This window comes from Homo sapiens, chromosome 22 (genome assembly GCF_000001405.40).
Source record: "Homo sapiens chromosome 22, GRCh38.p14 Primary Assembly".
Lineage (NCBI taxonomy): Eukaryota > Metazoa > Chordata > Mammalia > Primates > Hominidae > Homo > Homo sapiens.
Genome location: NC_000022.11, coordinates 37,558,026 through 37,583,599, shown reverse-complemented (window position 1 = coordinate 37,583,599; position 25,574 = coordinate 37,558,026). Strand labels below are relative to the sequence as shown.

General features: G+C 54.3%; 2 protein-coding genes across 2 annotated transcripts, besides 14 other annotated features; one reads left to right on the top strand and one right to left on the bottom strand.

Annotated features, from left to right (window-relative positions):
- Nucleotides 3,127–3,186: a silencer, noted in NCBI's record as "silent region_13687". NCBI's record gives its function as "represses an Ori minimal core promoter by ATAC-STARR-seq in GM12878 lymphoblastoid cells {active_cell/tissue: GM12878}" and the evidence as "EXISTENCE:reporter gene assay evidence [ECO:0000049][PMID:35858748]".
- LGALS2 (galectin 2) lies at nt 3,513–13,352 on the top strand. The gene is made up of 4 exons (NM_006498.3): nt 3,513–3,700; nt 11,669–11,751; nt 12,865–13,024; nt 13,188–13,352. The coding sequence occupies exons 1-4, from the start codon at nt 3,695–3,697 to the stop codon at nt 13,335–13,337; spliced, it is 399 nt and encodes a 132-aa protein (NP_006489.1). The 5' UTR covers nt 3,513–3,694; the 3' UTR covers nt 13,338–13,352.
- Nucleotides 11,486–11,986: an enhancer, noted in NCBI's record as "H3K4me1 hESC enhancer chr22:37967621-37968121 (GRCh37/hg19 assembly coordinates)". NCBI's record gives its function as "activates a minimal SCP1, AML or CMV promoter by ChIP-STARR-seq in naive H9 embryonic stem cells {active_cell/tissue: H9 hESC(naive)}" and the evidence as "EXISTENCE:reporter gene assay evidence [ECO:0000049][PMID:30033119]".
- Nucleotides 11,987–12,487: an enhancer, noted in NCBI's record as "H3K4me1 hESC enhancer chr22:37967120-37967620 (GRCh37/hg19 assembly coordinates)". NCBI's record gives its function as "activates a minimal SCP1, AML or CMV promoter by ChIP-STARR-seq in naive H9 embryonic stem cells {active_cell/tissue: H9 hESC(naive)}" and the evidence as "EXISTENCE:reporter gene assay evidence [ECO:0000049][PMID:30033119]".
- Nucleotides 13,127–13,635: an enhancer, noted in NCBI's record as "H3K4me1 hESC enhancer chr22:37965972-37966480 (GRCh37/hg19 assembly coordinates)". NCBI's record gives its function as "activates a minimal SCP1, AML or CMV promoter by ChIP-STARR-seq in naive H9 embryonic stem cells {active_cell/tissue: H9 hESC(naive)}" and the evidence as "EXISTENCE:reporter gene assay evidence [ECO:0000049][PMID:30033119]".
- Nucleotides 13,864–14,158: an enhancer, noted in NCBI's record as "tiled region #9066; HepG2 Activating DNase unmatched - State 1:Tss, and K562 Activating DNase unmatched - State 14:Gen5'". NCBI's record gives its function as "activates a minimal TATA promoter and a strong SV40 promoter by Sharpr-MPRA in HepG2 and K562 cells {active_cell/tissue: HepG2 | K562}" and the evidence as "EXISTENCE:reporter gene assay evidence [ECO:0000049][PMID:27701403]".
- Nucleotides 13,972–14,116: an enhancer, noted in NCBI's record as "145 bp enhancer 93 fragment used in the MPRA reporter construct; PK_construct_476". NCBI's record gives its function as "activates an SV40 promoter by MPRA in HepG2 and K562 cells {active_cell/tissue: HepG2 | K562}" and the evidence as "EXISTENCE:reporter gene assay evidence [ECO:0000049][PMID:23512712]".
- Nucleotides 14,037–14,050: a transcriptional cis regulatory region, noted in NCBI's record as "HNF1 motif; MPRA enhancer 93 activity is reduced when this motif is scrambled; it is unclear which activator is functional in K562 cells". NCBI's record gives its function as "necessary for full MPRA enhancer 93 activity {active_cell/tissue: HepG2 | K562}" and the evidence as "EXISTENCE:site-directed mutagenesis evidence [ECO:0005528][PMID:23512712]".
- On the bottom strand, nt 14,195–23,120 carry CDC42EP1 (CDC42 effector protein 1). The gene is made up of 3 exons (NM_152243.3): nt 23,012–23,120; nt 16,788–17,528; nt 14,195–15,492 (listed from the first exon to the last, which is right to left on the bottom strand). Exons 2-3 carry the CDS (start codon nt 17,248–17,250, stop codon nt 14,780–14,782), a joined length of 1,176 nt encoding a protein of 391 aa, NP_689449.1. The 5' UTR covers nt 17,251–17,528; nt 23,012–23,120; the 3' UTR covers nt 14,195–14,779.
- Nucleotides 15,125–15,776: an enhancer, noted in NCBI's record as "H3K27ac-H3K4me1 hESC enhancer chr22:37963831-37964482 (GRCh37/hg19 assembly coordinates)". NCBI's record gives its function as "activates a minimal SCP1, AML or CMV promoter by ChIP-STARR-seq in primed H9 embryonic stem cells {active_cell/tissue: H9 hESC(primed)}" and the evidence as "EXISTENCE:reporter gene assay evidence [ECO:0000049][PMID:30033119]".
- Nucleotides 19,134–19,634: an enhancer, noted in NCBI's record as "H3K4me1 hESC enhancer chr22:37959973-37960473 (GRCh37/hg19 assembly coordinates)". NCBI's record gives its function as "activates a minimal SCP1, AML or CMV promoter by ChIP-STARR-seq in naive and primed H9 embryonic stem cells {active_cell/tissue: H9 hESC(naive and primed)}" and the evidence as "EXISTENCE:reporter gene assay evidence [ECO:0000049][PMID:30033119]".
- Nucleotides 19,635–20,135: an enhancer, noted in NCBI's record as "H3K4me1 hESC enhancer chr22:37959472-37959972 (GRCh37/hg19 assembly coordinates)". NCBI's record gives its function as "activates a minimal SCP1, AML or CMV promoter by ChIP-STARR-seq in naive and primed H9 embryonic stem cells {active_cell/tissue: H9 hESC(naive and primed)}" and the evidence as "EXISTENCE:reporter gene assay evidence [ECO:0000049][PMID:30033119]".
- Nucleotides 20,663–21,269: an enhancer, noted in NCBI's record as "H3K27ac-H3K4me1 hESC enhancer chr22:37958338-37958944 (GRCh37/hg19 assembly coordinates)". NCBI's record gives its function as "activates a minimal SCP1, AML or CMV promoter by ChIP-STARR-seq in primed H9 embryonic stem cells {active_cell/tissue: H9 hESC(primed)}" and the evidence as "EXISTENCE:reporter gene assay evidence [ECO:0000049][PMID:30033119]".
- Nucleotides 21,270–21,877: an enhancer, noted in NCBI's record as "H3K27ac-H3K4me1 hESC enhancer chr22:37957730-37958337 (GRCh37/hg19 assembly coordinates)". NCBI's record gives its function as "activates a minimal SCP1, AML or CMV promoter by ChIP-STARR-seq in naive H9 embryonic stem cells {active_cell/tissue: H9 hESC(naive)}" and the evidence as "EXISTENCE:reporter gene assay evidence [ECO:0000049][PMID:30033119]".
- Nucleotides 21,572–21,801: an enhancer, noted in NCBI's record as "active region_18976". NCBI's record gives its function as "activates an Ori minimal core promoter by ATAC-STARR-seq in GM12878 lymphoblastoid cells {active_cell/tissue: GM12878}" and the evidence as "EXISTENCE:reporter gene assay evidence [ECO:0000049][PMID:35858748]".
- Nucleotides 21,878–22,484: an enhancer, noted in NCBI's record as "H3K27ac-H3K4me1 hESC enhancer chr22:37957123-37957729 (GRCh37/hg19 assembly coordinates)". NCBI's record gives its function as "activates a minimal SCP1, AML or CMV promoter by ChIP-STARR-seq in naive and primed H9 embryonic stem cells {active_cell/tissue: H9 hESC(naive and primed)}" and the evidence as "EXISTENCE:reporter gene assay evidence [ECO:0000049][PMID:30033119]".
- Nucleotides 23,121–25,574: the final 2,454 nt, after the last annotated feature.

Sequence of the window (25,574 nt, the reverse complement as noted above, 5' to 3'; positions counted from 1 at the left end):
TGGTGAAATGCCGCCTCTACTAAAAATACAAAAATTAGCTGGGCATGGTCGTGGGCGCCTGTAATCCCAGGTACTTGGGAGGCTGAGGCAGGAGAATCACTTGAACCTAGGAGGTGGAGATTGCAGTGAACAGAGATTGTGCCATTACACTCCAGCCTGGGCGACAAGAGCAAGACTCCATCTCAAGAAAAAAAAAAATTCAGTATAGTATTATAGAATGTCTGTGGACATCTATGGACCAAAGATTCTTTAGCCAGGAGGGAGGCCTTCAGGAATATTATTCCGTCTACCAGCCTTCCAATAACAATTGCTTGGCAAGGTATATTAGTTATCTATCACTGCGTAATAAATTAACCCAAAATGTAGGGACTTAAAATAAGAAACACGTTTCTCATGGTTTCTTTGGGGCAGGAATCCAGGTGGGGTTTAGCTGAGAGCCTCTGGCTCCGGGTCTCACAAGGCTGCAGTCAGGGTGTCGGCTGCACAAGTTGTCTCCAGGCTGGCGTGGGGTAAGCTCCAATGTCAAGTTCACTCATGTAGCTGTTGGCAGGTCCTGGTCTTCATTGGTGGTTGGCTGGAGACGTCAGTTCCTTGGCACATGGGCCTCTCCATAGAGCTACTCGCAAGGTGGTTTCATTGCTTCTTCCCCAGGGCAAGAGCAGAGCAGAGGGCGAGAGAGACAGCAGGACAACAGTTTTTTTGTAACCTAACCTTGGAAGTGACATCCCATGACTTTTGCCATATTCTAGTATTCTTTTAGTTAGAAGCAAGTCCTGTGTCCAGTCATGCTCAAGGGAGCTGATTGGGCAAGTGTGTGATTACCAGGAGCTGGGGATCATTGGGGCCATCTCAGAGGCGGCCACCGCACAGAGGGCTCAAGGTCACACTGGAGGTCAAATGCTCTTTTTGCTAAGTGAGGGCAGTGCCACACACTTTGGCAGGCGCCTGAGCAAGGGATTGGTTGCTAGACAGCAAGCTCTGCTACTTTCTAGTTGCGTGAGTCCTGGGATCCCTAATTCCCCACCTGAAAAATGGGGTGAGAACAGAGGTTCCCTTGAGAATGTACTATGAGCTTATAACGATGAGGGCTGAAGAAAGTGGTTTGCAAAGTGCAGAATGCCCTTCAGAAGGTAGCCATTGTTAAGAGGACAAGGTTACAGATGTGAGTATTGGAATTTCTGTTCTTTTTCTTTTTCCTTTGAGACAGGGTCCGTCACTGTCACCCAGGCTGGAGTGCAGTGGCACAATCATGGCTCACTGCAGCCTGGATCTCCAGGGCTCAAGTGATTCTCTTACCTCAGACTCCTGAGTAGCTGGGACTACTGGCATGTGCCACCATGCCTGGCTAATTAAAAAAAATTTTTAGTAGAGATAGGGTCTCACTATGTGGCCCAGGCTGGTCTCGAACTCCTGGACTCAAGCGATCCACCCACCTCAGCTTCCCAAAGTGCTGGGATTACAGGGGTGAGCCACCATGCCCAGCCATTCTTTTTTCTTTTTTTAAATCTTTCATTGGTATAAAATATATACGCAGCAAAGTACGTAAATGATATGCATGGTCATTTTCCCCTGCTTTTGAACATTATTTTAAAACAAGTGAACTTTAAGTTCCTTTTACTGTGTGTACTTTCTGGAACCTCCTATAGTGAGATAATATTATTATTATAATCAGAAAAATGCCACCTTTAAAAGGTATAGTTTCTGTTGATTAGTTTCCAGGGAGAAAGCCTTTTAAAATTCCTTATCTCACTGGGGTTTTACCATGCCTTTGGGAGAAAGGCCGAGAGAGGATTAATTTCCTTGTGGGTGAAAGGAGGAAGTCACTCCTCACTCCGGGCTGGCAGGGGACTGAAGGTGGTGTCCTATGTGGGCACTGGGCAGTGAGCCACCTGCAGACTCCTGGCACCGAGGGCCCTCGGCAAGGCCAGTTCCCCACATCCTGCCCGGAGTGGCCACCGCCAACTCTGATGGAAAACGCTCTGGCTCGCCAAATCCTGAGCTCTAGAAAAGTTCTCCTTCTGGGAATCTGCCCTACATAAGTTGTCACGATGCAGCCAAAGTTTATGTCCAAATAGATTTAATGCAGCAGTATTTTTAATAGCAAAAATGTAGAATTAATGTGAGTGTTCAGCAGAAGGAAATTGGTTAAATAAATTCAGTCGTTGAAAGGTAGACTATTTCGCAGGCATTAAAGTATGGTTCTGAAATATAGATTTGTGGTCTTTAATGTTTCCCAAATGAAGAGAGATAAACAATTGCACAGACAGAGGGGTGTCTATAATGTAAATCTGTGGAGAACCGCCTGGAAGGAAATGTGCCAACAGCGTAAGCCAGTTCCCTCGTGGCGGTGGCATTATGAGTGATTATTTTTCTTTTTATTTAATATCTCTAATTGTCTATAGTAAGCATGCCAGTTACATAAGTAACAGAAGTCAAGAGCAAAGCATTTTCATCCTCCATGTCCCCCACTCAGCCCTCCCACTCCTTCTGCACTTTTATTTATTTTTTATTTTTTTATTTGAGACGGAGCCTCACTCTGTCGCCCAGGCTGGAGTGTAGTGGCGCGATCTTAGCTCCCTGTAACCTCCACCTCCCGGGTTCAAGCGATTCTCCTGCCTCAGCCTCTTGAGCAGCTGTGACTACAGGTGCGACCACGCCCAGCTAATTTTTGTATTTTTAGTAGAGATGGGGTTTCACCATGTTGGCCGGGCTGGTCACAAACTCCTGACTTCAGGTGATCCGCCTGCCTTGGCCTCCCAAAGTGCTGGGATTACAGGCTTAAGCAACCGCGCCCAGCTCTCCTCTGCTTTTGACCATTTGTTGTAAATAGTTTGAAATCTTTTCTTTGAATCCGTGTATTGGTTTTGAAACCTACATGTCCGATCAGATAAATAATATGGGGAGGGAAGAAGAAAACATAATGCTCTCTGACAATGAATCATAACATCATAGAAAATTAGAACCTTAGGCCAGGCGCAATGGCTCACGCCTGTAATCCCAGCACTTTGGGAGGCCAAGGTGGGCAGATCACGAGGTCAGGAGATCGAGACCATCCTGGCTAATACGGTGAAACCTCGTCTCTACTAAAAATACCAAAAAATTAGCCGGGCATGGTGGCGGGTGCCTGTAGTTCCAGCTACTCGGGAGGCTGAGGCAGCAGAATGGTGTGAACCCAGGAGATTGCATTGAGCGGAGATCGTTGCCACTGCACTCCAGCCTGGGTGACAGAGTGAGACTCTGTCTCAAAAAAAAAAAAAAAAGAAAATTAGAAACCTAGACTTTTTTTTTTTTTTGCAAAGCAAATCTCTCTTTTTACAGGCAAGGAAGCTGGGCTAAGTGAGGGAGGCTGGGAGAGCTGTCAAGCGGCTGCATTGCGGTTTGTGTGGGGGCAGAGCTGGGGCTGCTTCCCCTCTCGGGCTCTGGGAGCGCTGAGGAGGGGGAGGCTGGGCTGGAGGGAGGCCAGGAGGATGCTCCGGGCTGGGTGGGGTGGAGCTGGCTGAGGAGTCTTCTGCCTGTTTGTGCTGGGTACTGGGAGATGCAGGCGGGGAGACACAAGGTAGAAGGGGCAAAGTCCTCACCTAGGACCTTGAGGGAGTTAATGTGTAATATTCTAGGATATAAGCTTGACCACGAGTTGAGACCCTGAGCACAGGCCTCCAGGAGCCGCTGGGAGCTGCCGCCAGGAGCTGTCACCATGACGGTGAGGACACTAGCCCCCTGCTGCCTGCCCCACTCTGTTCATCTTTGTCTTTGCCTGGGTGGGGGCTTTTAGGGAAAACCATTGCTGTCCCTCTCTGGGCCTCAGTTTCCCCATCTGTGCAGCAAAGAAGTTGGACAGAGGTCTTTTTTTAAAAAACAGCATCTTGGGCCAGGCGTGGTGGCTCCTGCTTGTAATCCCAGCACTTTGGGAGGCCGAGGCTGGTGGATCATCTGAGGTTGGGAGTTTGAGACCAGCCTGACCAACATGGAGAAACCCCGTCTCTACTAAAAAAATACAAAATTGGCTAGGCCTGGTGGCACATGCCTGTAATCCCAGCTAATGGGGAGGCTGAGGCAGGAGAATCACTTGGACCTGGGAGGCAGAGGTTATGGTGAGCCGAGATTGTGCCATTGCACTCCAGCCTGGGCAACAAGAGTGAGACTCCATCTCAAAACAACAACAACAATACAGCATCTTGCTCTGTCACCAGGTGGAGTGCAGTGGTGGCAATCATAACTCACTACGGACTTGACCTCCTTGGCTTAAATGATCCTCCCACCTCAGCCTCTTGAGTAGCTGGGACCCCAGGCACTCACTACCACACTGGCTAATTTTGTTTGTTTCTTTTCTTTCTCTTTTTTTTTTTTTTTTTGAGATGGAGTCTCGCTCTGTTGCCCAGGCTGGAGTGCAGTGGCCCGATCTCAGCTCACTGCAACCTCTGCTGCCTGGGTTCAAGCAATTCTCTGGTCTCAGCCTCCCAAGTAGCTGGGATTACAGGTATGTGTCACCACACCTGGCTAATTTTTTTTTTTTTGTTGAGATGGAGTTTCTGTTGCCCAGGCTGGAGTGCAATGGCACGATCTCGGCTCACCACAACTTCCACCTCCCAGGTTCAAGCGATTCTCCTGCCTCAGCCTCCTGAGTAGCAGGGATTACAGGCATGGGCCACCACACCCGATTAATTTTGTATTTTTAGTAGAGATGGGGTTTCTCCATGTTGGTCAGGCTGGTCTTGAACTCCTGATCTCAGGTGATCCACCTGCCTTGGCCTCCCAAAGTGCTGGGATTACAGGTGTGAGCCACTGCTCCTGGCCTAATTTTTGTATTTTTAAAGTAGAGACAGGGTTTCACCATGTTGGTCAGGCTGATCTCGAACTCCTGACCTCAGGTGATCCGCCCACCTTGGCCTCCCAAAGTGCTGGGATTACAGGTGTGAGCCACCCCACCCAGCTTATTTCTTATTTTTCGTAGAGATGAGGTCTCACTATGTTGCTCAGGCTGATATCAAACTCCTGGGTTCAAGGGATCCTCCTGCCTTGGCCTCTCGAAGTGCTGAGATTACAGGTGTGAGCCACTGTGCCTGGCCTCCATTGATCTTTATAGAGATAAAAAAAAATCTCAGCTTGGGCAATATAGTGAGACCTTTTCTGCTACAGGTGCATGCCACTACGCTTTGCCTTAAAAAATTAGTGGGGGTAGCGGCACACTCCTCAGCCTTGGGAGGCTGAGGATCACTTGAGCCCAGGAGGTCGAGGCTACAGTGAGCCGTAATTGCACTACTGTACTCCAGCCTGGGCAACAGAGTGAGACCTTGTCTCATATACCCACACACAAAACCCAAGTCTTGGAGAGCAAATTGCCCAAGGCCACAAGCTGCAAATCACAAGGGGTTGAGTGGATTCCCACTGAGGTCTCTGATTCGTTGATTCTACACCAGACTCTGCCACAGCTTTACTGTGTGGCCTTGGCCAAGTCACTGACCGTCTCTGAGCCCCAGTCTTCCTTACATCTGTGGAAGGGGATCACAGGCTGCCTCTTCTGAGGATTAGATGGTGTATTCATTGCCTAGGGCTGCAATAACAAATTACCACCAAATTGTGGGTGGCTTCACACGATAGACGTTTGTTCTGTCTTGGTTTTGGTGACTAGAAACCTGAAACCAAGGTGCTACAGGGCTACGCTCCTGCTGAAGGCGCAAGGGGAGGGTTCTTTCTTGCCTCTTCCAGCTTCTGGTGGCTCCTCGCATTCCTTGGCTTGCATCACTCCAATCTCTGCCTCCAACTTCACGTGGACTCCTCTGTGTGTCTCCGTCTCTGTGTCTATATTTCTCTCCTCTTATGAGAACACTGGTCGTATTGGATTTAGGACCAACCCTAAACCAGTATGACCTCTTAACTCGATTACATATGCAAAGGAACTATTTTTAAATAGGTCACATTGAGGCTGGGCGGGGTGGCTCACCCCTGTAATCCCAGCACTTTGGGAGGCCGAGGCAGGCGGATCACTTGAGATCAGGAGTTCAAGACCAGCCTGGCCAACATGGTGAAACCCTGTCTGTACTGAAAATACAAAAACAAAAAAGAAGAAGAAGAAGAAAAAAAAATTAGACAGATGTTGTGGTGGGCACCCGTAATCCCAGCTACTTGGGAGGCTGAGGCAGGAGAATCGGTTGAACCCGGGAGGCAGAGGTTGCAGTGAGCCGAGATCGAGCCACTGTACTCCAGCCTAGGTGACAGAGTGAGACTTCATCTCAAAAAAAAAAAAAAAGGTCACATTGACAGGTTCCAGGTGGACATGAATTTTCGGGGGACGCTATTCAAGTGCAGGGGGGATGCAGGATGTGAATGTGCCAGGGGTCCTGCGTGGAAGGGTCTATGCCCTCATCACCCTCTGCCTCTCGGGGAGGACTGCTGTGGCCCACGGACTCTCCCCACCTTCTCTTTCCTGGTCATCTCACCTCTGCCTTTTCTTTCCTCTCTCTCCAGCTCCAGAGGCCATATCATCCAAATCCCTTATACGACAGATAAGGGAACCAAGGCCCAGAAAGGGGCTAAGCTGGCCCCAGGCCCCTCTGCCAATTAGGGGCAGAGTCGGCACTAGAGTCTGGGCCCCCAACTCCCCACCCCCCCAGCTCTAGGGACGACCACACCCCCACCCAGTTCTGCCTGTCTCTCTCTGCGCCTTTGACTCTGTTGGGTGGGGACAAGGCTCCCGGGCCTGCACCCTCCCGCAGCTCTCAGCATCCCTATTTGTCCAAGTGCACCCCTGACCCTGGACTTCCGAGTGCTTCTGCCCTGCAGCAGCCCCCACCTCTATCCTTGGGGTTTGAGCTTTGCTGTTTCAGTCAGGCAGCCCCCAGGAGCTGCAAGGGGAGTGTGGGTGCTTCTCTTAGTCCAGGCCCAGCTCCCCTATCCTGGCCTGACTGTTGCAGGGCTCGGGGTGTGGGCACAGGCTGCTGGCAGGAGGCAGGGAGCCATCTCCTGATGCTTGGTGTTAGACGTGTGTGTGCGCAGGGCACACGTCTGTGAGTGTCTGTGTGGCGGGCACACCTGTCTTCTGTTTCTTGTTTGAGCCCCTTTTGGACTGTCCTCACTGGATAACCTCATCTCCCAGAGATAATGGTCTTTGTCAGTGAGAGACTGATTTTTTTTTTTTTTTTTTTTTTTTTGAGACGGAGTCTCGCTCTGTCGCCCAGGCTGGAGTGCAGTGGCGCCATCTTGGCTCACTGCAAGCACCGCCTCCCGGGTTCACGCCATTCTCCTGCCTCAGCCTCCCGAGTAGCTGGGACTACAGGCGCCTGCCACCACGCCCGGCTAATTTTTTGTATTTTTAGTAGAGACAGGGTTTCACCGTGTTAGCCAGGATGATCTCACTCTCCTGACCTCGTGATCCGCCCCCCTCGGCCTCCCAAAGTGCTGGGATTACAGGTGTGAGCCACCGCCCCTGGCCAGCAAGAGACTGATTTTAATCCCGTCTGTCTGGCTCCAAAATCTGGACCCAACCCCGTTGTGTTAAGCAAAGACATGGGGAGTTAGGTGTCCAGCCTCCAAACCCCACTTTCTCTAAAGCAGGGAGGTTTTGCTCCCAGGAGACAACGGACCCTGTCTGGAGACATTCTTGGTTGTCACCGCTCAGGGGAGGGTGTCACTGACATCCAGTGGGTAGAGGCCAGGAATACTGCTCAACATCCTACAACACAAGAGACAGACCCCAACAAAGAAATGCCTGCCCCAAACGTCCAGACGGCCAAGGCTGAGAAGCTCTGGTCTGAGCAGCCTCCTGTCTGACATGCCGCCGTCATGGCCCGCTGTCCTGGGTTAAGCATTGCTGCCTCCTCCAGGCGTCTCTTATAAAATGTACTGCCAGGCCGGGCACAGTGGCTTACACCTGTAATCCCAACACTTTGGGAGGCCGAGGTGGGAGGATCCTTTGAGCTCAGGAGGTCGAGGCTGGCCTGGACAACATAGTGAGACCCCATCTGAAAAAAAAAAAAATCAGCTGGGCCAGGTGGGATGCCTGTGGTCCAGGCTACCTGGGGGGCTGAGGTGGGAGGATTGCTTGAGCCCAAGAGGTCAAGGCTGTAGTGAGCTCTGATCATATCACTGCACTCTAGCCTGGGTGACAGAGCAAGACCTTTAAAAAAAAATGTATTACCGGCTGAGGCAGGAGGACCACTTGAGGGTCAGGAGTTCCAGAGCAGCCTGGGTAACATAGCAAAACCCTATCTCTACAAAAATTTTAAAAATTAGCTGGGCATGGTGGCACACGTCTATAGTCGTAGCTACTTAGGAGGCTGAGGCAGGAGAATCGTTTGAGCTCAGGAGGCTATGAGGCTGCATGCAGTGAGTTATAATCGTGCTACTGCACTCCATCTTGGGTGACAGAGCAAGACCCTGTCTCAAAAAAAAAAAAAAAAGAAAGAAAAGAAAAAAAATGCTGGGTGTGGTATCTCACCCCTATAATCCCAGAACTTTGGGAGGCCCAGAGGGGAGGATCACTTGAGGTCAGGAGTTCGAGACCAACCTGGCCAAAGTGGTGAAACCCCGTCTCTACTAAAAATACAAAGAAAATTAGCTAGATATGGTGGTGGGAGCCTGTAATCTCAGTGACTCGGGAGGCTGAGGCAGGATAATTGCTTGAATCTGGGAAGTGGAGGTTGCAGTGAGCCAAGATTGCACCACTGCACTCCAGCATGGGTGACAGAGTGAGACTCCATCTCAACATCTCAAAAAAAAAAAAAAAAGAACTTACTGCCTGTGGAAGAGTTGAGCAATACCTAACAACCTACCCCTACATGTGACCAACCAGCGGGTCACTTCCTCCTCTGCAGAGAGGAGGCGGCTGCCAGCGAGAGGGCACTGAGGGTCCTCCCATGGCCACTGCCCCCTTGACTTCTGGCAAAGTGCCCCAGTCCAATGAGCTCATTCAGGGCATCTCAGATCATGCTTTTTCTGGAAATAAAAAGTCAGTGAGCAGAACTCCCACAATGTAAAAGTGTCCTCCCATAAGTTGTTCTAAATCTTTGGTGCCTGTTGCGTCCTGGTCAGACCAACCCTCACCCTCTGGTCATAGATGCGAAAACTGGTCTTGGGTAATGAGTTTTTTTTTTTTTTTTTTTTTAGACAGAGTCTTGCTCTGTCGCCTGGCACAATCTCGGCTCACTGCAACCTCCACCTCCTGGGTTCAAGCGATTCTCTTGCCTCAGCCTCCCAAGTAGCTGGGACGACAGGCATGTGCCACCACACCCGGCTAATTTTTGTATTTTTAATAGAGACAGGGTTTCTCCATGTTGGCCAGGCCAGTCTCAAACTCCTGACCTCAGGTGATCCACCCGACTCAGCCTCCCAAAGTGCTGGGATTACAGGCGTGAGCCACCGCTCCCAGCCCTGGGTAATGAGCTTTGAAAACCCAGCTTAGAAATCTTCCCTAGTAACCATCGTGAGGCTAGAGGAGGCTCCTACTGTACAGAAATTCAGGTGCTGCTTTCCTATGGAAAATAAGGAGCAGATGAATCTTAACAACAAGTAATCAAAATGATGGTCATTTGGGCAGACCACTGTCCAGAAAAAAAGAAAAAATTTAAAAAAGAAAATTAAGGCTGGGCTTGGTTCACGCCTGTAATCCCAGCACTTTGGGGAGCTGAGGTGGGCAGATCAATTGAGGCCAGGAGTTTGAGACCAGCCACACCAACATGGTGAAACCTTGTCTCTACTAAAAATGCAAAAATTAGGCATGGTGGTACATGCCTGTAGTCCCAGCTACTCGGGAGGCTGAGGCAGGAGAATCGCTTGAACCTGAGAGGTGGAGGTTGCAGTGAGTCGAGATCGCACCGTTGCACTCCAGCCTGGGCGACAAAGCAAGACTCTGCTCAAAAAAACAAAAAAAAAAACAAAAAAAGAAAAGGAAAGTAAAACAATAAATGATGGTGGTCCTGTGATTTGCTGTTGGTCTACGTGAGGCCCTGTGCATGGGATTTCACAAACATGTTCTTGAATCCTCTCAAAACCAGCTTGAAGGTTGGTGGTGTCTCCCTGGTGTGACAGGGTCTGTCATACAGCTGGCATTCAGCAACAACAACAACAAAAATAGAAATGGGAGTCTCGCTATGTTGCCCAGGCTGGTCTCCAACTCCTGGGCTCAAGTGACCCTCCTGTCTCAGCATCCTGAGTAGCTGGAATACAGGTACACACTTCCACACCCAGGCTATCAACTGTTTTTTAAATGAATAAATCAAATTAGTCAATTTTACAGAAGGGGAAAGTGAGGCTTGGAGAGAGACTTTGATGGACATAGGACTTGCGGAGTTTTATAGATTCTTAGTTTTTGTTCGTTTGTTTGTTTTTGTTTTTGAGACAGAGTCTTGCTCTGTTGCCTAGGCTGGAGTGCAGTGGCGTGATCTTGTCTTACTGCAACCTCTGCCTCCCAGGCTTAAGCCGTTCTCCTGCCTCAGCCTCCCAAGTAGCTGGGACTATAGATGCGTGCCACCACACCTGGCTAATTTTTGCATTTTTAGTAGAGACAGGGTTAAATGTTAGGCAGACTGGTCTTAAACTCCTGACCTCAGGTGATCTGGCTGCCTCGGCCTTCCAAAGTGCTGGGATTACAGGTGTGAGCCACTGTGCCCGGCCTTTTTTTTTTGTTTTTCTTTGAGATGAAAAGTCACTCTTGTCGCCCAGGCTGGAGTGCAATGGTACGATCTCAGCTCATGGCAACCTCCGCTTCCAGAATTCAAGCAATTCTCCCGCCTCAGCCTCCCAAGTAGCTGGGATTACAGGCGCCCGCCACCATGCGCAGATAATTTATTTTATTTTATTTTATTTATTATTATTATTATTATTATTATTATTATTTTTGAGATGGAGTTTCGCTCTGTCGCCCAGGCTGGAGGGCAGTGACGCGATCTCACCTCACTGCAAGCTCCGCCTCCCGGGTTCACACCATTCTCCTGCCTCAGCCTCCCGAGTAGCTGGGACTACAGGCACCTGCCACCACACCCGGCTAACTTTTTGTATTTTTAGTAGAGATGGGGTTTCACCATGTTAGCCAGGATGGTCTCGATCTCCTGACCTCGTGATCCGCCCGCCTCGGCCTCCCAAAAGTGTTGGGATTACAGGTGTGAGCCACCGCGTCCGGCCAATTTTTTTATTTTTAGTAGAGACGAGGTTTCACCATGTTGCCCAGGCTGGTTGCTAACTCCTGACCTCAGGTGATCAGCCCGCCTCGGCCTCCCAAAATGCTGGGATTACAGGCGTGAGCCCCTGCACCTGGCCAGATTTAGTTTTGGGTGGGCCAAGATCTTGTGCCTCTGATACAGTCATTTTCCATATCATATTTTTGTTTCTGGGGTTCTGCTGAGGGCAGCGTGATTTCATCACTTGAACACTTTGCGGAACTGGGCAGGAAGCACTCTGCCCATTTCATAGATGGGCAAACTGAGCCTCCGTCCTGTGCCTCTTCGGGTTGGGGTGGATAAGAGCAAAACAGGGCAGGGAGTGGGGAAGCTCTGGGAGGCCTTGATCAGAGCGCTCTGGCTCTGCCACTTTCCAGCTTGGTGGTCTCCTGCGTCCTCACGTGGGCAGGGGGATTGAGACCTGCAGCTGGGTTGGCATGAGGTGGATGAAGCTGCTGGGCAAGTGTGGGATTGATTTTCTGTGGGGACTCGAGTGGAATGTTTCTCTGTTGGCCCAGGGGGAACTTGAGGTTAAGAACATGGACATGAAGCCGGGGTCAACCCTGAAGATCACAGGCAGCATCGCCGATGGCACTGATGGGTGAGCAAGGTTTCAGGGTTGGGGGAGTCTGCAGGCCCGGAATAGGCAGGGCGGGTGGGGCAGGCAGGGCAGCCCTGTGAAGTGCTCAGGCAAGAGGGACGTCAGGCCAATGGGCCCTTTTTCACACCCTTCTCCCCACACCCCTGCTGGCCCCCACTTCATGTCTGAGGCTAGGTTTGGGGACCTGCAGAATTTCAGAGTTGATGCCATATGCTCTATTCTTTTGCCCCAACAGCCATTGAAGGGGCAGGTGGAGAAGCCCCTGGAACTCTGTCTGGCCCCCTGCGGGGCAGGTGCCTCTAGGGAACGCCCAAATCCCCAGAGACACCACCCTCTTTACCCAGCAGAATGGCCACAGGCTGGCATTTCATGAGCATTAAACCAGGGCAGCCACCAGGGGAGGCTGAGTGGTCTCGCTGGCATCCTCTTGGTTAGAACCAGCGGCCTCACCACCTCCGTGAGTCACAGTCCAGCGAAAGGCTCTCTCGCCTGCAGAACATGTCAGCGCATCTTGGAACTGTGCTTTATCTACTTTTGGTTAGAGAGGGGGCGGGCAGGTGCATGCCATAGGAGCTAAGGGAAAAGTGACTTATTTCTCCTACTTGGGTCCCTCAAGTTTGTCAAAATGTGTGATACCCTTGGTCTGAGACTCCCAAATGAAGACACCCCATGACCCAGAATGCCCCACTTTCAGGAACCCTGCAGGTCTAGCCCAGGCTCCTGTAGTGATCTTGCCAAGAAGTCATACAACCCCGGTTGCACACCCATAGTGACAGGGAGCTCACCACCTTAGGTTGGCTGCTGGTGGCTAAATTTAATAGGTCTTCAGATATCTAAGAGATAGCATTTCTCTCTCCCAGGAGAGCCACCCCCAATTCCCGAAGCTGTCACTATCAGTTACCCTTCTCTCAACAGCGTGATCCCTGCTCCAAATGGAATGTGCTACCACAGTGCTAAGTCTGAGCAGGTTGTTACCTCCCTTGTTTTAAGGCACAGATCTCAACTAACACAAGCTTTGATTCTTCCAGCTTGTGGTCAACCAAGGTCCTCCAACCCAAGCTGCTTTATCCAGGCCTGAGCCCTGAACCTCACCTGCTACCCCTTCTCCTGCAGCTTTGTAATTAATCTGGGCCAGGGGACAGACAAGCTGAACCTGCATTTCAACCCTCGCTTCAGCGAATCCACCATTGTCTGCAACTCATTGGACGGCAGCAACTGGGGGCAAGAACAACGGGAAGATCACCTGTGCTTCAGCCCAGGGTCAGAGGTCAAGGTGAGGTCAAAGGGGGAAAGGGCACTGGGGTGATGTCAAGGGGAGGGCCCAGATGGAAGAGAGCCTGGCCTGGACACAGGTGCTGGCCTTGTTTGAGCCATCAGGCACTGCCCTGGCCCATTTCCAGGGCCTCCTGCCTCCTTGACACCCTCCCTCCCCACAGTTCACAGTGACCTTTGAGAGTGACAAATTCAAGGTGAAGCTGCCAGATGGGCACGAGCTGACTTTTCCCAACAGGCTGGGTCACAGCCACCTGAGCTACCTGAGCGTAAGGGGCGGGTTCAACATGTCCTCTTTCAAGTTAAAAGAATAAAAGACTTCCAGCCGAGATTCTCTGTCCTGGTTCTTCTTCCGAGTCACACCAGGATCAACAGAGCTTGGGTGTGTTCCCCTATCCCTACCTGCAGTTCCTGCCCCAGGGCTAAAAGCAAACAAAATAATCTGTTTTTATCGAGTCTTCCTGTGGCAAGAACTGTGGCTTGTGACTCCTTTCTCTCTTGGGTCCCTCAAGTTTACAAAAACATGGGATACCCCTGGTCTGAGGACCTCTGAATGAAGGCACCCCATGATCCAGAATGTCCTGCTCTCAGGGATCCTGAGGTCCCGTAGTGATCCTGCCTCCTGCCACACATCCTCTGGTTGCATACCTGTAGTGACAGGGAGTGCACCACCTCACGTTAGCTGTTTGTGGCTAAATTTAACCGGTCTTCCGATACCTAAGGAGGGCATTTCTCTTTCCGTGCATTTTAATGCTCCTGGCATTTTCATAATACTGAGGAGGAAACAGATATGAGGACACCCGGCTGCCATGTTGGGAGGCTGAGACATGCTCCCAACAGTCCTACGCACTTGCTTCTGTCTACTTGCCCCCACTATCGCCAGAGCAAATGCCATGCTGCCCTGTGGGATTATGGGGCAGACACGAGTCCCAGGCACCTGGGCCAGGGGCTGTTCCCGGAACTGCAGATAAGGGCTCCCACCTGGGCCTCTTATCTCAGGGGCGTTCCAGCCTGGTTACTCATTACCCTCCCCTTGGCGCGTCCACTTCCCTTCCCTGCTGGGGGCCTTGATGGGGGATCCTTGGCTTTCTAAACTCCCTGGAGGGGAGGGGACTGAAGCAGACAGAGCTGATGCTGTTGTCCCAGGTCCCCAAGCATCTTGCAGGACACCTTTTATCAAAACAGCCTTATTTAATCAGGCCCCAGAGGCAAGTCTGGGGTATACAGGCAGGTGGGATTCCTCCCCGGGAGGTCATACCTGACCTTTCTGGGGTAAGAGGGAGGCTGGGGCGGGGATGTTGGGGAAGCGGCCTGGGAGACGGCTGTCAGGGTTGCAGCAGGGACGCTCTGGGATGAGCTGGGGGCAGGCGGTCCCTTTGGGAGGTGAGACAATGGCCCTGTGTGGTACACTCCCTGCCCCCCACCCCCCACGGGCCGCTTGGTCTGGCACAAAGGACACACTGTGAGGCTGGGTCCTCCAGCTGGTGGGGGTGGCATGGAGTGGGGCCTAAGGAACAGCTATTAGGTCCAGAGTGGCAGTCGGGGGAGGTGGTCAGTTTGGCAGGGCCTCTGGGAGCATAAAAGTCCCAGAGCAAGCCTGGCCTTCCCTGTCCTCCCTCCCATGTCTGTCCTGCAGAGGTGGGGAGGGGTTTAGGGGCAACATGACTTCTCCCCTCTCCGGTCTGGTAGGAACCAGCTGTTAGGTGAGGGGCCGGCTCTGCACCTAGGTGGGGCCCTGGGACCGTGCCCCAGCCCCTCACACCTTGACCTCATCATCCTCCTCAGCATCCGCAAATTCAAAGGTGTTTGCTTGCACTGTGCTGGGCACTGGGGTCCTGCTGCCTGCCTGGGGCGCCCTCCACTCTTCGTCCAGGCTCTCCCAGGAGGCCCGGGCTTGGGGCAGCACCTCCACCCGCTCCTGCCGCGCATCCATCTCTGGGTAGTGGTGGCCGCCATCCCAGCCTGCTCCCCAGTGCCTGCCGAGGGCAGGGCCAGCAGGTCCTCGGGGACCCCCTCCCACTGGGCTGGACTTCACCTCAGCCACTGGGCCCAACCCAGCTGTTACCCCATTGGGACAGTGTCCATGGGGTGTGGAGCTTGCGGCAGGGGCTGGGGGATTTGCAGCAGGACCCGTGGGGGTTGCGGCAGGTGCTGAGGGGTTTGCAGCAGGCGCTGGGGGGTTTGCAGTAGTGGCTGGGGGGTTTGCAGCAGGACCCGTGGGGTTTGCAGTAGGGGCTGGGGGGTTTGCAGCGGGGGCTGGAGTCTCAGCTGCAGGGGCTTCTGGGAGGCTCATGACCCCTAGCAGCTCGCTGAGGAGTGAGGGCCCAAGGTCGAGGTCCAGGCGGAAGGACAAGAGAGAGTCAGAGCGGCGAAGCCCGGGCTCAGAGGGGAAGGAACCATCCCGGTCTCGGTCATGCGGCTTTTCCGAGCGGGGCAGGCGGGAGATGGTGCAGAACCCAGAGTCCAGGCCTAGAAGAGAAATGGGCAGTGGGCTCAGAGCTGGGGTCCCTCACCAGGAATTCAGGAGGGGAGACAGGACCAGTCCTGGCTTGCTGTGTGGCCTCTGGCTAGTCCCTCCCCTCTCTGGCCTCGGTTTCTCCCATCTTTCCAATAGAATACACTCCATGGTCACCTGTGTGATCTTCCTGTCTACCCCGAAAGCTGAAAATCATCATTATCCTCATTTCCATTATGCAGATGGGGAAAGTGAGGCTCAGTTTGGGATGGGGCGAAGGAGCTAGCCCAAGGCCATAGAAGTCTGACGAGGTGGAATCAAGTCTGGAGCTCAAATCTCCTCTCAGTCCCAACTGTGACCTCAGCCATGGCCACCGGCTCCCTGCCATGACGCTGGCCGATGGCTGCAGGTGAACCCATAGCACGTGAGCTGGTTTGTGGACACAGGATGGGACCAGCAATCAGGGTCTGACTGTATAGAAATGAAGGACAGACATGTCCAGCCCCTGCTTCCAGGACTACAGACCTGAGACAGAATCGGGTTTCTGTGGACCAGTCCTCAGTGCGGTTCTGAGCAGCCGCCTGGGGCAGGGGTGTTAGAGCCACTCCCGCAAGGCAGGGAGTGGCCACCAGGTGGCAGCAGGGGCCCATGGTTCTCAGGTGAGCTCTGACCGAACGGCCAAGGTGGCACTTCTGGCTGGGCAGGAAGGCCTGTGGCTTGCGGTTCCTGTGAGTGGTTTCCCAAATTTGTCGAGTTACAGGAAACCAAGTTCAGATAACAACAGCTCCAGTGTCCTGAGCACCTACTAAGTATCAGCCCCCCTGCGCCTCTCCTGGCACTGAATCTTAGCAATGACCCCGAGAGACTCATTATCCAGGCGAGGACTTGAACTTATAGAGGTCAACTGACTTCCTGAAATTCAGGCAGAACTGGATTGGAATCTAGAGCCCAGGCCCTTCACCTCTCCATGATATCATTCCGACATGAGGGGAAGGCTTTGGTTGAAGGGGGCAAGAATGGGTGGGTGACTGGTTCAGCTAAGGCCCAGAGAGGGGGATGTGCTTGCCCAGGTCACACAGCAAGTGAGGGGCAGCTAGAATTCAAACTCCACCTCCTCACTCTCAACCTCAGGTGTTTTGGGGAGTCAGCTTGTTCCCACCACTGCACCCCCTCCCCATCCATGATGTGGGGTCTGGGCCTGACCTCTGTGGTCACTTGGAGCTCACTTGGAGCTTGGAGGAGCCACTGAACCCCTCTGGGCCTCAGCCTCAGCCTCTGAAAAGTGGGCCAAGATGGCCCAGGCCCTCACCGTAGCTGGAGTGGCCGTCCGTGGAGCTGGTGGGGCTGCTGTCGAAGCTGAGCTTGCCAACCACGAGGCTGTCGTAGGCGGCCTGGTTGAGCTGGGGCAGGGAGATGGCGTTCTTGATGATGGGGGAGATGGCCGGTGGAGCCGGGGAGGGTGCAGGGGGAGATGCCATCCTCCGGGGGGGCGCCCCCACCCTCCGCACCAGCTGCAGCTTCTTGGCCAGGAAGCTGCGGGGTGAGCGATGGGTGCTCCCGGAGCTGCCACCGTGGTTGCTGAGGAAGGACGTGTCCCCGAAGACATCCCCGCCACGGCCCACATGCATGGTGTGGCGGAAGTCCCCGAGTGGGTGGCTGATCATGTCTGCAGTCAGCCGCCTCTTTCCCTGTGAACTGGACACCCAGCCCACAGGCGAGAGCTTGCCCAGGCTCATGGTGGCGGCGCCTCTGCCCCCCTGGGGGCCGGGCATCAGCTCTGGCTGCTCACAGCTGCTAGTCCATGCCTACCAGGGGCCGGGGGAGGGAGGTGGGCTGGGCTTGGGATGGCTGCTCAGCTCCTTTGCCCTGGCGGAAGCTGTAAATGGCACTCTCCTAAGGTGAGGTCCCCAAATGCAGAGGCTGTGGGGGGTTCATGGCTCGTCTCTCCCAGGGGCCCGGCTCCCAGCCCCTCAGAAGCAGCTATAGATGTTCAAGCGCAGAGAAAGCACCCCCGAGGTGGTCGGCAACTCTCCTGCCCAGAGGTGGAGACCTGGAAGGAAGACAGAATGGGCGGTGACGGCAGGCCCGCGACAGAGGAGGAAATCCGGGGTCCAAACATTAGCAGCTGAAGAGGATAGATGATCACACCCAACTACACGGATGGAGGCCTCCAACTGACGCGGGGCAGAAGCTAGGCACACGGGGACCCAAGTGAGTCTGTGTATAGAAAGTTCAAGAACACAGCCGGGTGCGGTGGCTCATGCTGGTAATCCCAGCACTTCGGGAGGTTGAGGTGGGTGGCTCACCTGAGGTCAGGAGTTCGAGACCAGCCTGGCCAACATAGAGAAACCCCGTCTCTACTAAAAATACAAAACTTAGCCGGACGTGGTGGTGCGCACCTGTAATCCCAGCTACCCAGGAAGCTGTGGCAGGAGAATCACTTGAACCTTGGAGGCAGAGGTTGCAGTGAGCCAAGATCACATCACGGCACTCCAGCCTCGGCAACAAGAGCAACATTCCGTCTCAAAAAAAAAAAAAAAAAAAAAAAAAAAAACAAGGAAGTTCAGTAACAGGCAAAACCAATTGATGCTATTAGCAATCAGAATGATGGCAGCCTCTGAGCAGGTACTGACTGAATAGGGGACAAATAATTCATTGAGCTATACACTTAAGCCATGTATCAGGAAAAAATAGAAGCACTCATTCACTCATTCTAAGTCTGAGCAACATAATGAGACCTGGTTTTTACAAAAAAATTTTAAAAAAATTAGTTGGGTGTGGTGGTGTATGCCTGTGGTCCTAGCTACTCAGGAGGCTAAGAAGGGAGGATCCTTTGAGCCTAGGAGGTCAAGGCTGCAATGAGCCATGATTGTGTCACTGCACTCCAGTCTGGGAGACAGAGCAAGACCTTGTCTCAAAAAAAAAAAAAAAAAAAAGGAAAAAAAAAAGAAAGCACTTATTCTGCAGGGCCCACTTATGAAGCACTTACTAAGTGCCAAGACCTCACCCGCCTCATCGTTTAAACCCATACAATACTCCTGAGGGGCTGGGCGCGGTGGCTCACGCCTGTATTCCCAGCACTTTGGGAGGCCAAGGCGGGTGGATCACGAGGTCAGGAATTAGAGACCAGCCTGGCCAACATGGTGAAACCCCGTCTCTACCAGAAATACAAAAAATTAGCTGGGCGTAGTGGCGGGCGCCTGTAATCCCAGCTACTCAGGAGCCTGAGGCAGGAGAATTGCTTGAACCCGGGAGGCAGAGGTTGCAGTGAGCCGAGATTGCGCCACTGCACTCCAGCCTGTGCGACAGAGCGAGACTCCGTCTCACAAACAACAACAACAACAAAAACATTACTCCTGAGGGCAGCATGAGATTAGAGAGGGGAAACTGAGGCACAAAGTGACGTAACTTGCCTGAGGCTACGTAGTAAGAAATGGTGAAACAGGCCCCACATCCCAGAGCCCTGGAGCCCCAGGCTACACTGCCTCCTGCTGAGTAACTGAGTAAGTCACCTCCCTTCTCTGTGCATTAAAATCTCTGCCACGCAGCGAAGCCAGGAGGGAGCAGACACCTCACCAAAGCTTTGTGAAGCTGGGTAAACAGCCAGAGCAGAGGTTCCTCTGAACCATCCACCTTCAAGGAGCTTCCTGGAATAAGGATCCTGTGGTCAAAAGTGGCTTTTTCCAGCTGCCTCCTCCATGCGTGAGCATATTCAAGTCTCTGAGAAGGCCCGCAGGAAAAGACTTTATCACAGTTTGTCAAACTGACGTAGGAGCCTTGCTGTCAGGGAGCAAGCTTTGGAAAAAGCTCAGCTGGTGCCAAAAGCTATTTCTTGTGCATCTCTCCTTCCTGATTCCCCACCCCCACCATACACACACACACATCCTCCCCTGCTCCAGCTTCTCTAAGCATCTCTTGTTCTGACCCCTTTCCTTCTAGTGTCATACAAAGTCCAGGCTAGAGCGCACCTGTGATCCTATGCTTTTCCTGTGGCCCACTGAGGGCAAAGCTGGCTAGAGGTCAGATCCACAGAGCTAGTTGAGACTTGAACTCAGAGCCTCTGACTCACATAAGCCCTTGACTGGCTTGTGGAGCCCAGTCTCGCCTCCCGAGATCGGCAATGCACTTGGAGGGTGGGGAGGCCGCCTGGATTTTCCTGCCTTTCTCCCTTGGGCATCTAGCTTGGGCTCTGCACTTAACAAGTGCCAAATCAATGCCAGCTGAATCACAGATCTCCATGATAACCTGCATGCCAAAACATCACCCTGGCCCCTTCTGAGAGTGGGAGGGCAGGCTGGGCTCTGTGTCCTCACAATGTGACCTTGGGCAAGTCACTTACCTACACAGACCTGGGACCTCAGCTGATAAAAGTCAATAATGATCCTTAAGAACACCTATGTCTGCGGCTCAGCCTTCTTCCTTTTTTAAAACCATTGCTGCCACCTCCAAGCATAGAAATCTCAATACTGCCCTTCTAATGTTATTTGAAATTCAAAATAGGTTAAATAACAAGATAAGAACAAAGAAGCCAATAGGACAAAGCTTGCTTTGTTTTCTGACTACATTCTCTTCCCTTCCCACCATCTGATCCTCCCCCAACCCTAACTCCTCCCCCTCGTGGGGGGGAACTTCTGAATCATCTTCTTCCCTCCCTGGCACCCCCGGCACCGAGAAGTCCTCGTGGAATGTTTGCTGAAGTTCTGAAGCGATCCACAGTTGGCCAACCATTACATGATGTCATCTGATTCTCCAACAACCCTGCAAAGCCGCAGCGTGGCCTATTTGACAGGCAGCACTGAGGTTCGGAGGGAAGGGAGACCTGTCCAAGGTTAAGTGACAGGTTCATGGCAGGGCCAAGTTTCCCTGCTCAGCAGGGATTAAGGATGCATCTCTGGGGGAAGGAATGGGAGCGGGAAGGGTGTTCCTCTGTACAATGTCCTGTAGAAGGGTCTGCCATGTGGCCTTACCCACTTGCTCCCACCCCAGCTCCCTGACTTTTTTTTTTTTCTTTTTTGAGGCAGGGTCTCACTCTGTCACCCAGGCTGAGTGCAGTGGCTCCATCACAGCTAACTGCAGCCTCGAACTCCCAGGCTCAAGCGATCCTCCCACCTCAGCCTCCTGAGTAGCTGGGACTACAGGCACATACCACCATGCTCAGCTAAGTTTTTCCACTTTTTGTAAGGACAGGGTCTCACTCCATTGCCCAGGTTGGTCTCAAATTCCTGAACTCAAGCCATCCTGCTGCCTCAGCCTCCCAAAGTGCTGGGATTACAAGTGTGAACCACCACACCTGGCCTCCCTGACTTCTTGAGGCAGCACCTCATCTCCCAGCAAAAGGGGCTCCTCCCCCCTGAACCCCCATGGTCACTTTTGACTTGGGGGACCAGCTTCCTCCCCAATCTTGCGATGATCCCATCTTTCAAATGTTTCTGGGCACCCCCCCAATAGTACCCACCCCTCACACTACCCTGCCTACTGCGGTCGAGAGACTCTGCAGCGCTGTGGAGCTGAGGGCAGGGTATTGGGACCCGGTCTTCCCATGTGGAAAACGGAACAGCACACCAGGCAGTTCCCCTCCCAGGGGAGTTGCAAGGGTAGAAAATGTAATGAAACCCTCAGATACTGGAGCAGGGCAGCCATGGGTTCAAATCTGACACCTTTACACTAACATCTCTCATTCCAGGGACCCCGGTGGCAGCCACGTGGCACTTGCTGCCAACCACAGGGCACTGCTGGCCATCAGGTGTGCCTCACCTGGCACTGGAGTAAGCAGGGCTCCAAGTGTCCTGGTGCCAGGCTCACCTCCCCTCACCTGCTCAGGAACACCGCCCGTTAGTGTTCAGAACACCCCTTTCACAGATGGAAAAAACGAAGCTCAGAAAGGAGACATTTACCCTCAGTCACAGACCAACATTGCTGGTAAATGCCCCAGGGTGGGGGTGAAGACGATGGGGAATGGGGAAGACGATTTGGAGGGCTTGGATGCCCAGTGCTGAGCCCGGTGTGGGGTGCAGGTGCAGGCCTGGGAAGACAGGAGACCCAGCTCTGCAGATTCACTGCCTGTGACCTGGGCAAGGAGGTCACCACACAGCCTCAGTGTCCTTGGAGTCCTTATATTTACCCTATAGAGGATAGTCAGGGCCTGGGCACATGGCCTGAGCTCACTCAATGGTGGGAATGACGCAAGAACAAGTTTTGGAGCCGGGATCGGGCCAACAGGGGTCGCTGTGGAGGCACATGTGGTCGCGGGGAGGCCAAGGGCGGGTCTGAAGGAGAGCGGGGGCGGCTGCACCCTGGCATTCACCTGGGGGTCACCCGCAGGCCGCAGTGCTGGCCAGGGGCCCACGTCTCATCCTGGAGGCCACTGCTCGGGTGCACACAGCCCACTTCCTGCGGGCATCCAGCTGGGTGACGCCCCCCCCCACCGCTGGACAGCGGGTCCCTGTCATGGTTACGGCAGCTCCCCCAAACCTGCTCTGGTCCCTGGAATAAGGGGTTAAACCGGTCGGCTGACTTCTCCTGCTCCTCAAAGTCCAGACGCTTCAAGGTGGAGAGACGGGGAAACTGAGGCCAGAACGGGGTAGCTAGTTGTTCGCAGTCGCGCTAGGGGACCCGGTCCTCCGTATTCCAAGGGGGGCACCGTGGGCCATTAGGGAGCGACGGGGAAAGTGGAAAGGAGACGCGCTTCGTGCCCACCGCCCCGAGTTAGAGCCGAACCAGCCCGGGACCGAGCGAGACGGAGCGGCTGCGGGCCGCGTCTCGGGTCCCCGCGCCACGTTTAGTGCCGCTGCGGCCTCCCGGCCAGTCCCCCCTACTCTCTAAGCCTCAGTTTCCCGGTCTAGGAAAAGGGCTTCGAATGTTGCGGGTCTGGCACTGCTGGGGCAAAGGCAGAACAATCTGGAGGGCGGCCGGGATTGGAAGTCCGGGAAAGACTTCGGCCATCCAACATTCCCTGGGGGGACGGGGCTCAGGACGCGGAGGGTCGCTCCGCGGGGGAAGGGGACGACCGGCTGTCTTGGCCGGAGGGGAACCGGACGGGATGACCTCATCCGCGGCTCCAGCCTGGAATGCGGCGGTCGGGGAGGGGGGCAGGGTGCCTGTCCATCTCCCCGGGCCCCCCACCCCCCACTTCCCGCTCTCCGCGTGGGCCTCGGCGGAGGGGAGACATTCCGCCGCGTCGCCCGCTGCCCGCCCCGGCCCTTCCTTCCCCCGCGCAGGAAGGCGCGGAGACAGCCCCCGCTCTGCCCCTCGGCTCGCCCCCTCCTCGCGCATTTTGGCCGCTCAGCCGTGTCCGATCCTCTGCCCCCTCCACCAGCCTGGAACGGGACACGAAGCCCGAAAGCTCGGAGTTTCCTCGCGCGGCTCCGCGGCCGCGCCCGGCCTTCCTGTGGGCACCCGGGGGCGCCTCTCCCGGGCGGGTCCCGTCCCCGTTCCGGCCCCGGGAGCCTAGTAGGGTGCAGAGTCCCCGCGGGCGCCGGGACCCGCCGGCCTCCACGGCCTCCGCCCCGAGGACCCGCGCGCCCGGGCTGTTACCTGGCTCCGCGAGCCCCGGGGGCGCGGGACGAGGGCGGACTCGTCGTCTGCAGCGGCGGCGGCCGCGCGTCCCGGCTGGCAGCCCGGGAGAGTCGCTGGGCCGGTCTGCGCCGCCCTGGCCGCGGGCTCCGCGGGCTGGATCCGGGGGCGGGGGCGGGGTGTGGGCGCTCCCGCCTCCCGCCCGTCTCCTCCCGCCCGCGGGCGGGGCCCGGCCCCCTCCCCGGCCCCCTCCCCGGCACCGTCCTCGCGGCCGCCGAGAGCTGGCAGGGACGCGGCTGGGGGGCCAGGCCAGGCCTCTGCTCGCCACCCCGGACAAGGCCAGCCGGGGAACGTGCGGGCTGCCCCGGGGAGGCGACTCCGGTCCCCGGCCGCCAACCCCTCTTCCACCGGTTCCCCTCGTGGCCTTGCTTGGGGCGTCCAGGCCTGATGAACTCTCCTCCCTCCTGGGCCCTCCAGCCGCGCCCTGCGGGAGTTCGGGGAACCGGGAAGCTCGATCTGAGGCCTTGAATGCCTGGGCCTTTAAACCTTGATGTTTACAGGCATGACATGCCCACTCCTTTGCTCCCCATTCTCATTCCCTTCCATCCGGTACAGGCCCCGCGGTGCCCAGGAGGAAGACAGCCATACTGGGGCGACTGGTAGAGTGGGGTAGAGTGGCCGTCAAGACCGGGACCCTGGAGCCGGACAGCCTGGGCTCCTGTCCTGCCTCAGTCACTACTTACCTTTCTCTGCCTCAGTTTCCTGATCTGAAAGTGGGATAGATAATAGCAGCATCAGATGTTGTGTGAAGTGTTTCCTGCTCCAAGAGCACCTAGGAGGCTTGCTCGGCAGGTAAATGAAGTCGCATCTCAGAGACTTTACAGACCCTCCCCCCACCCCGCCCACCTCCATGGAGGGCAGGGAATCAGCCATACCCGGGACCCTGTGCCATCCTCAAGGAGGGGAGATAGATCTCTGGCCCCTGCCTCCCGTTGTTGTGCCCTCCTTTGACTACTCCCATCTGACTATAGAGTCCTCGGGCTGTCAGGGCACAGAGAGGTCCCTAATACTTCCTGCAGGGCCTGGGGGCTCAGGAAATCTTCCTAGAGGAGATGATACCTGAGTTAAGTCTCTCTCTCTCTCTTTTTTTTTTTTTTTTTTTTTTTTTTTTTTTTTTTTTTTTTTTTGAGACGGAGTCTCTCTCTGTTGCTCAGGCTGGAGTGCCATGGCATGATCTCAGCTCACTGCAGCTTCCACCTCCCGGGTTCAAGCGATTCTCCCTCCTAAGCCTCCGGACTAGCTGGGATTACAGGCACCCACCCACGCCCGGCTAATTTTTGTATTTTTTAGTAGAGAGGGGGCTTCACCATGTTGGCCAGGCTGGTCTTGAACTCCTTACCTCAGGTGATCCGCCTGCCTTGGCCTCCTCAAGTGCTAGGATTATGGGTGTGAGCCACTGCATGGTTGTGAGTTAAGTCTTAAAGGACGTGTAGGCAGAGGGAAGGGCAGTGGAAATGCACAGTGCACAGCTGGCAAGGGACAGCACAGCAAAGGCTGGGAGTGGAGGACCCTGCAGCGGAGGCAAACCCGGCTGAAGGAGACTGGCTGAGCGCTGTTGTGGCCGGGGATGAGGAGCTGTATTTACCCGCAGGTGGAGGAGACAAGGTCTTTACTGTTCACCCAGGGGCTAGGCCTCTTCCACTGGCTCCCTGAATCCCCATGCTGGCCACCAAGGGAAGGAGCTATTTCTGCAGCTGGACAAATGAGGAAACAGAGGCACAAAGCATTCTAGCATTTGCTCAAGTGGCACAGCAGTAGGAACTCTTTCCCTGGGGGCCGGCCCAGGAGTATTTTGTCCCATGGAGAACTGGAACAGCATCAGGACAGTGAGCCAGCAGGCAGCACTGGCAGGTGTACATTTAGAAGACTGACTGTTGCCCGGCGTGGTTGCTCACGCCTGTAATCCCAGCACTTTGGGAGGCTGAGGTGGGCAGATTACTTGAGGCTGGGAGTTTGAGACCAGCCTGACCAATATGGTAAAACTCCGTCTCAACTAAAAATACAAAAATTAGCCAGGCGTGGTGGCGGGTGCCTGTAATCCCAGCTACTCGGGAGGCTGAGGCAGGGAGAATTGCTTGAACCTGGGAAGCGGAGGTTGCAGTGAGCTGAGATCGCACCACGGCACTCCAGCCTGGTCAACAGAGCGAGACTCCATCTTAAAAAATAAAAATAAAAAAGTGCCGGGCGCGGTGGCTCACACTTGTAATCCCAGCACTTTGGGAGGCCGAGGCGAGCAGATCACTTGAGGTCAGGAGTTCGTGACCAGCTTGGCCAACATGGTGAAATCCTGTCTCTACTAAAAATACCAAAAATTAGCCGGGCATAGTGGTGGGCGCCTGTAATCCCAGCTATTCAGGAGGCAGAGGCAGGAGAATTGCTTGAATCTGGGAGACGGAGGTTACAGTGAGCTGAGATCGTGCTACTGCACTCCAGCCTGGGCGACAGAGCGAGACCCCATCTCAAAAAAACAAAAAACAAAATAGAAATCTGACTGTGAGTGAAGAATGGACTGGAAGGACAGTGA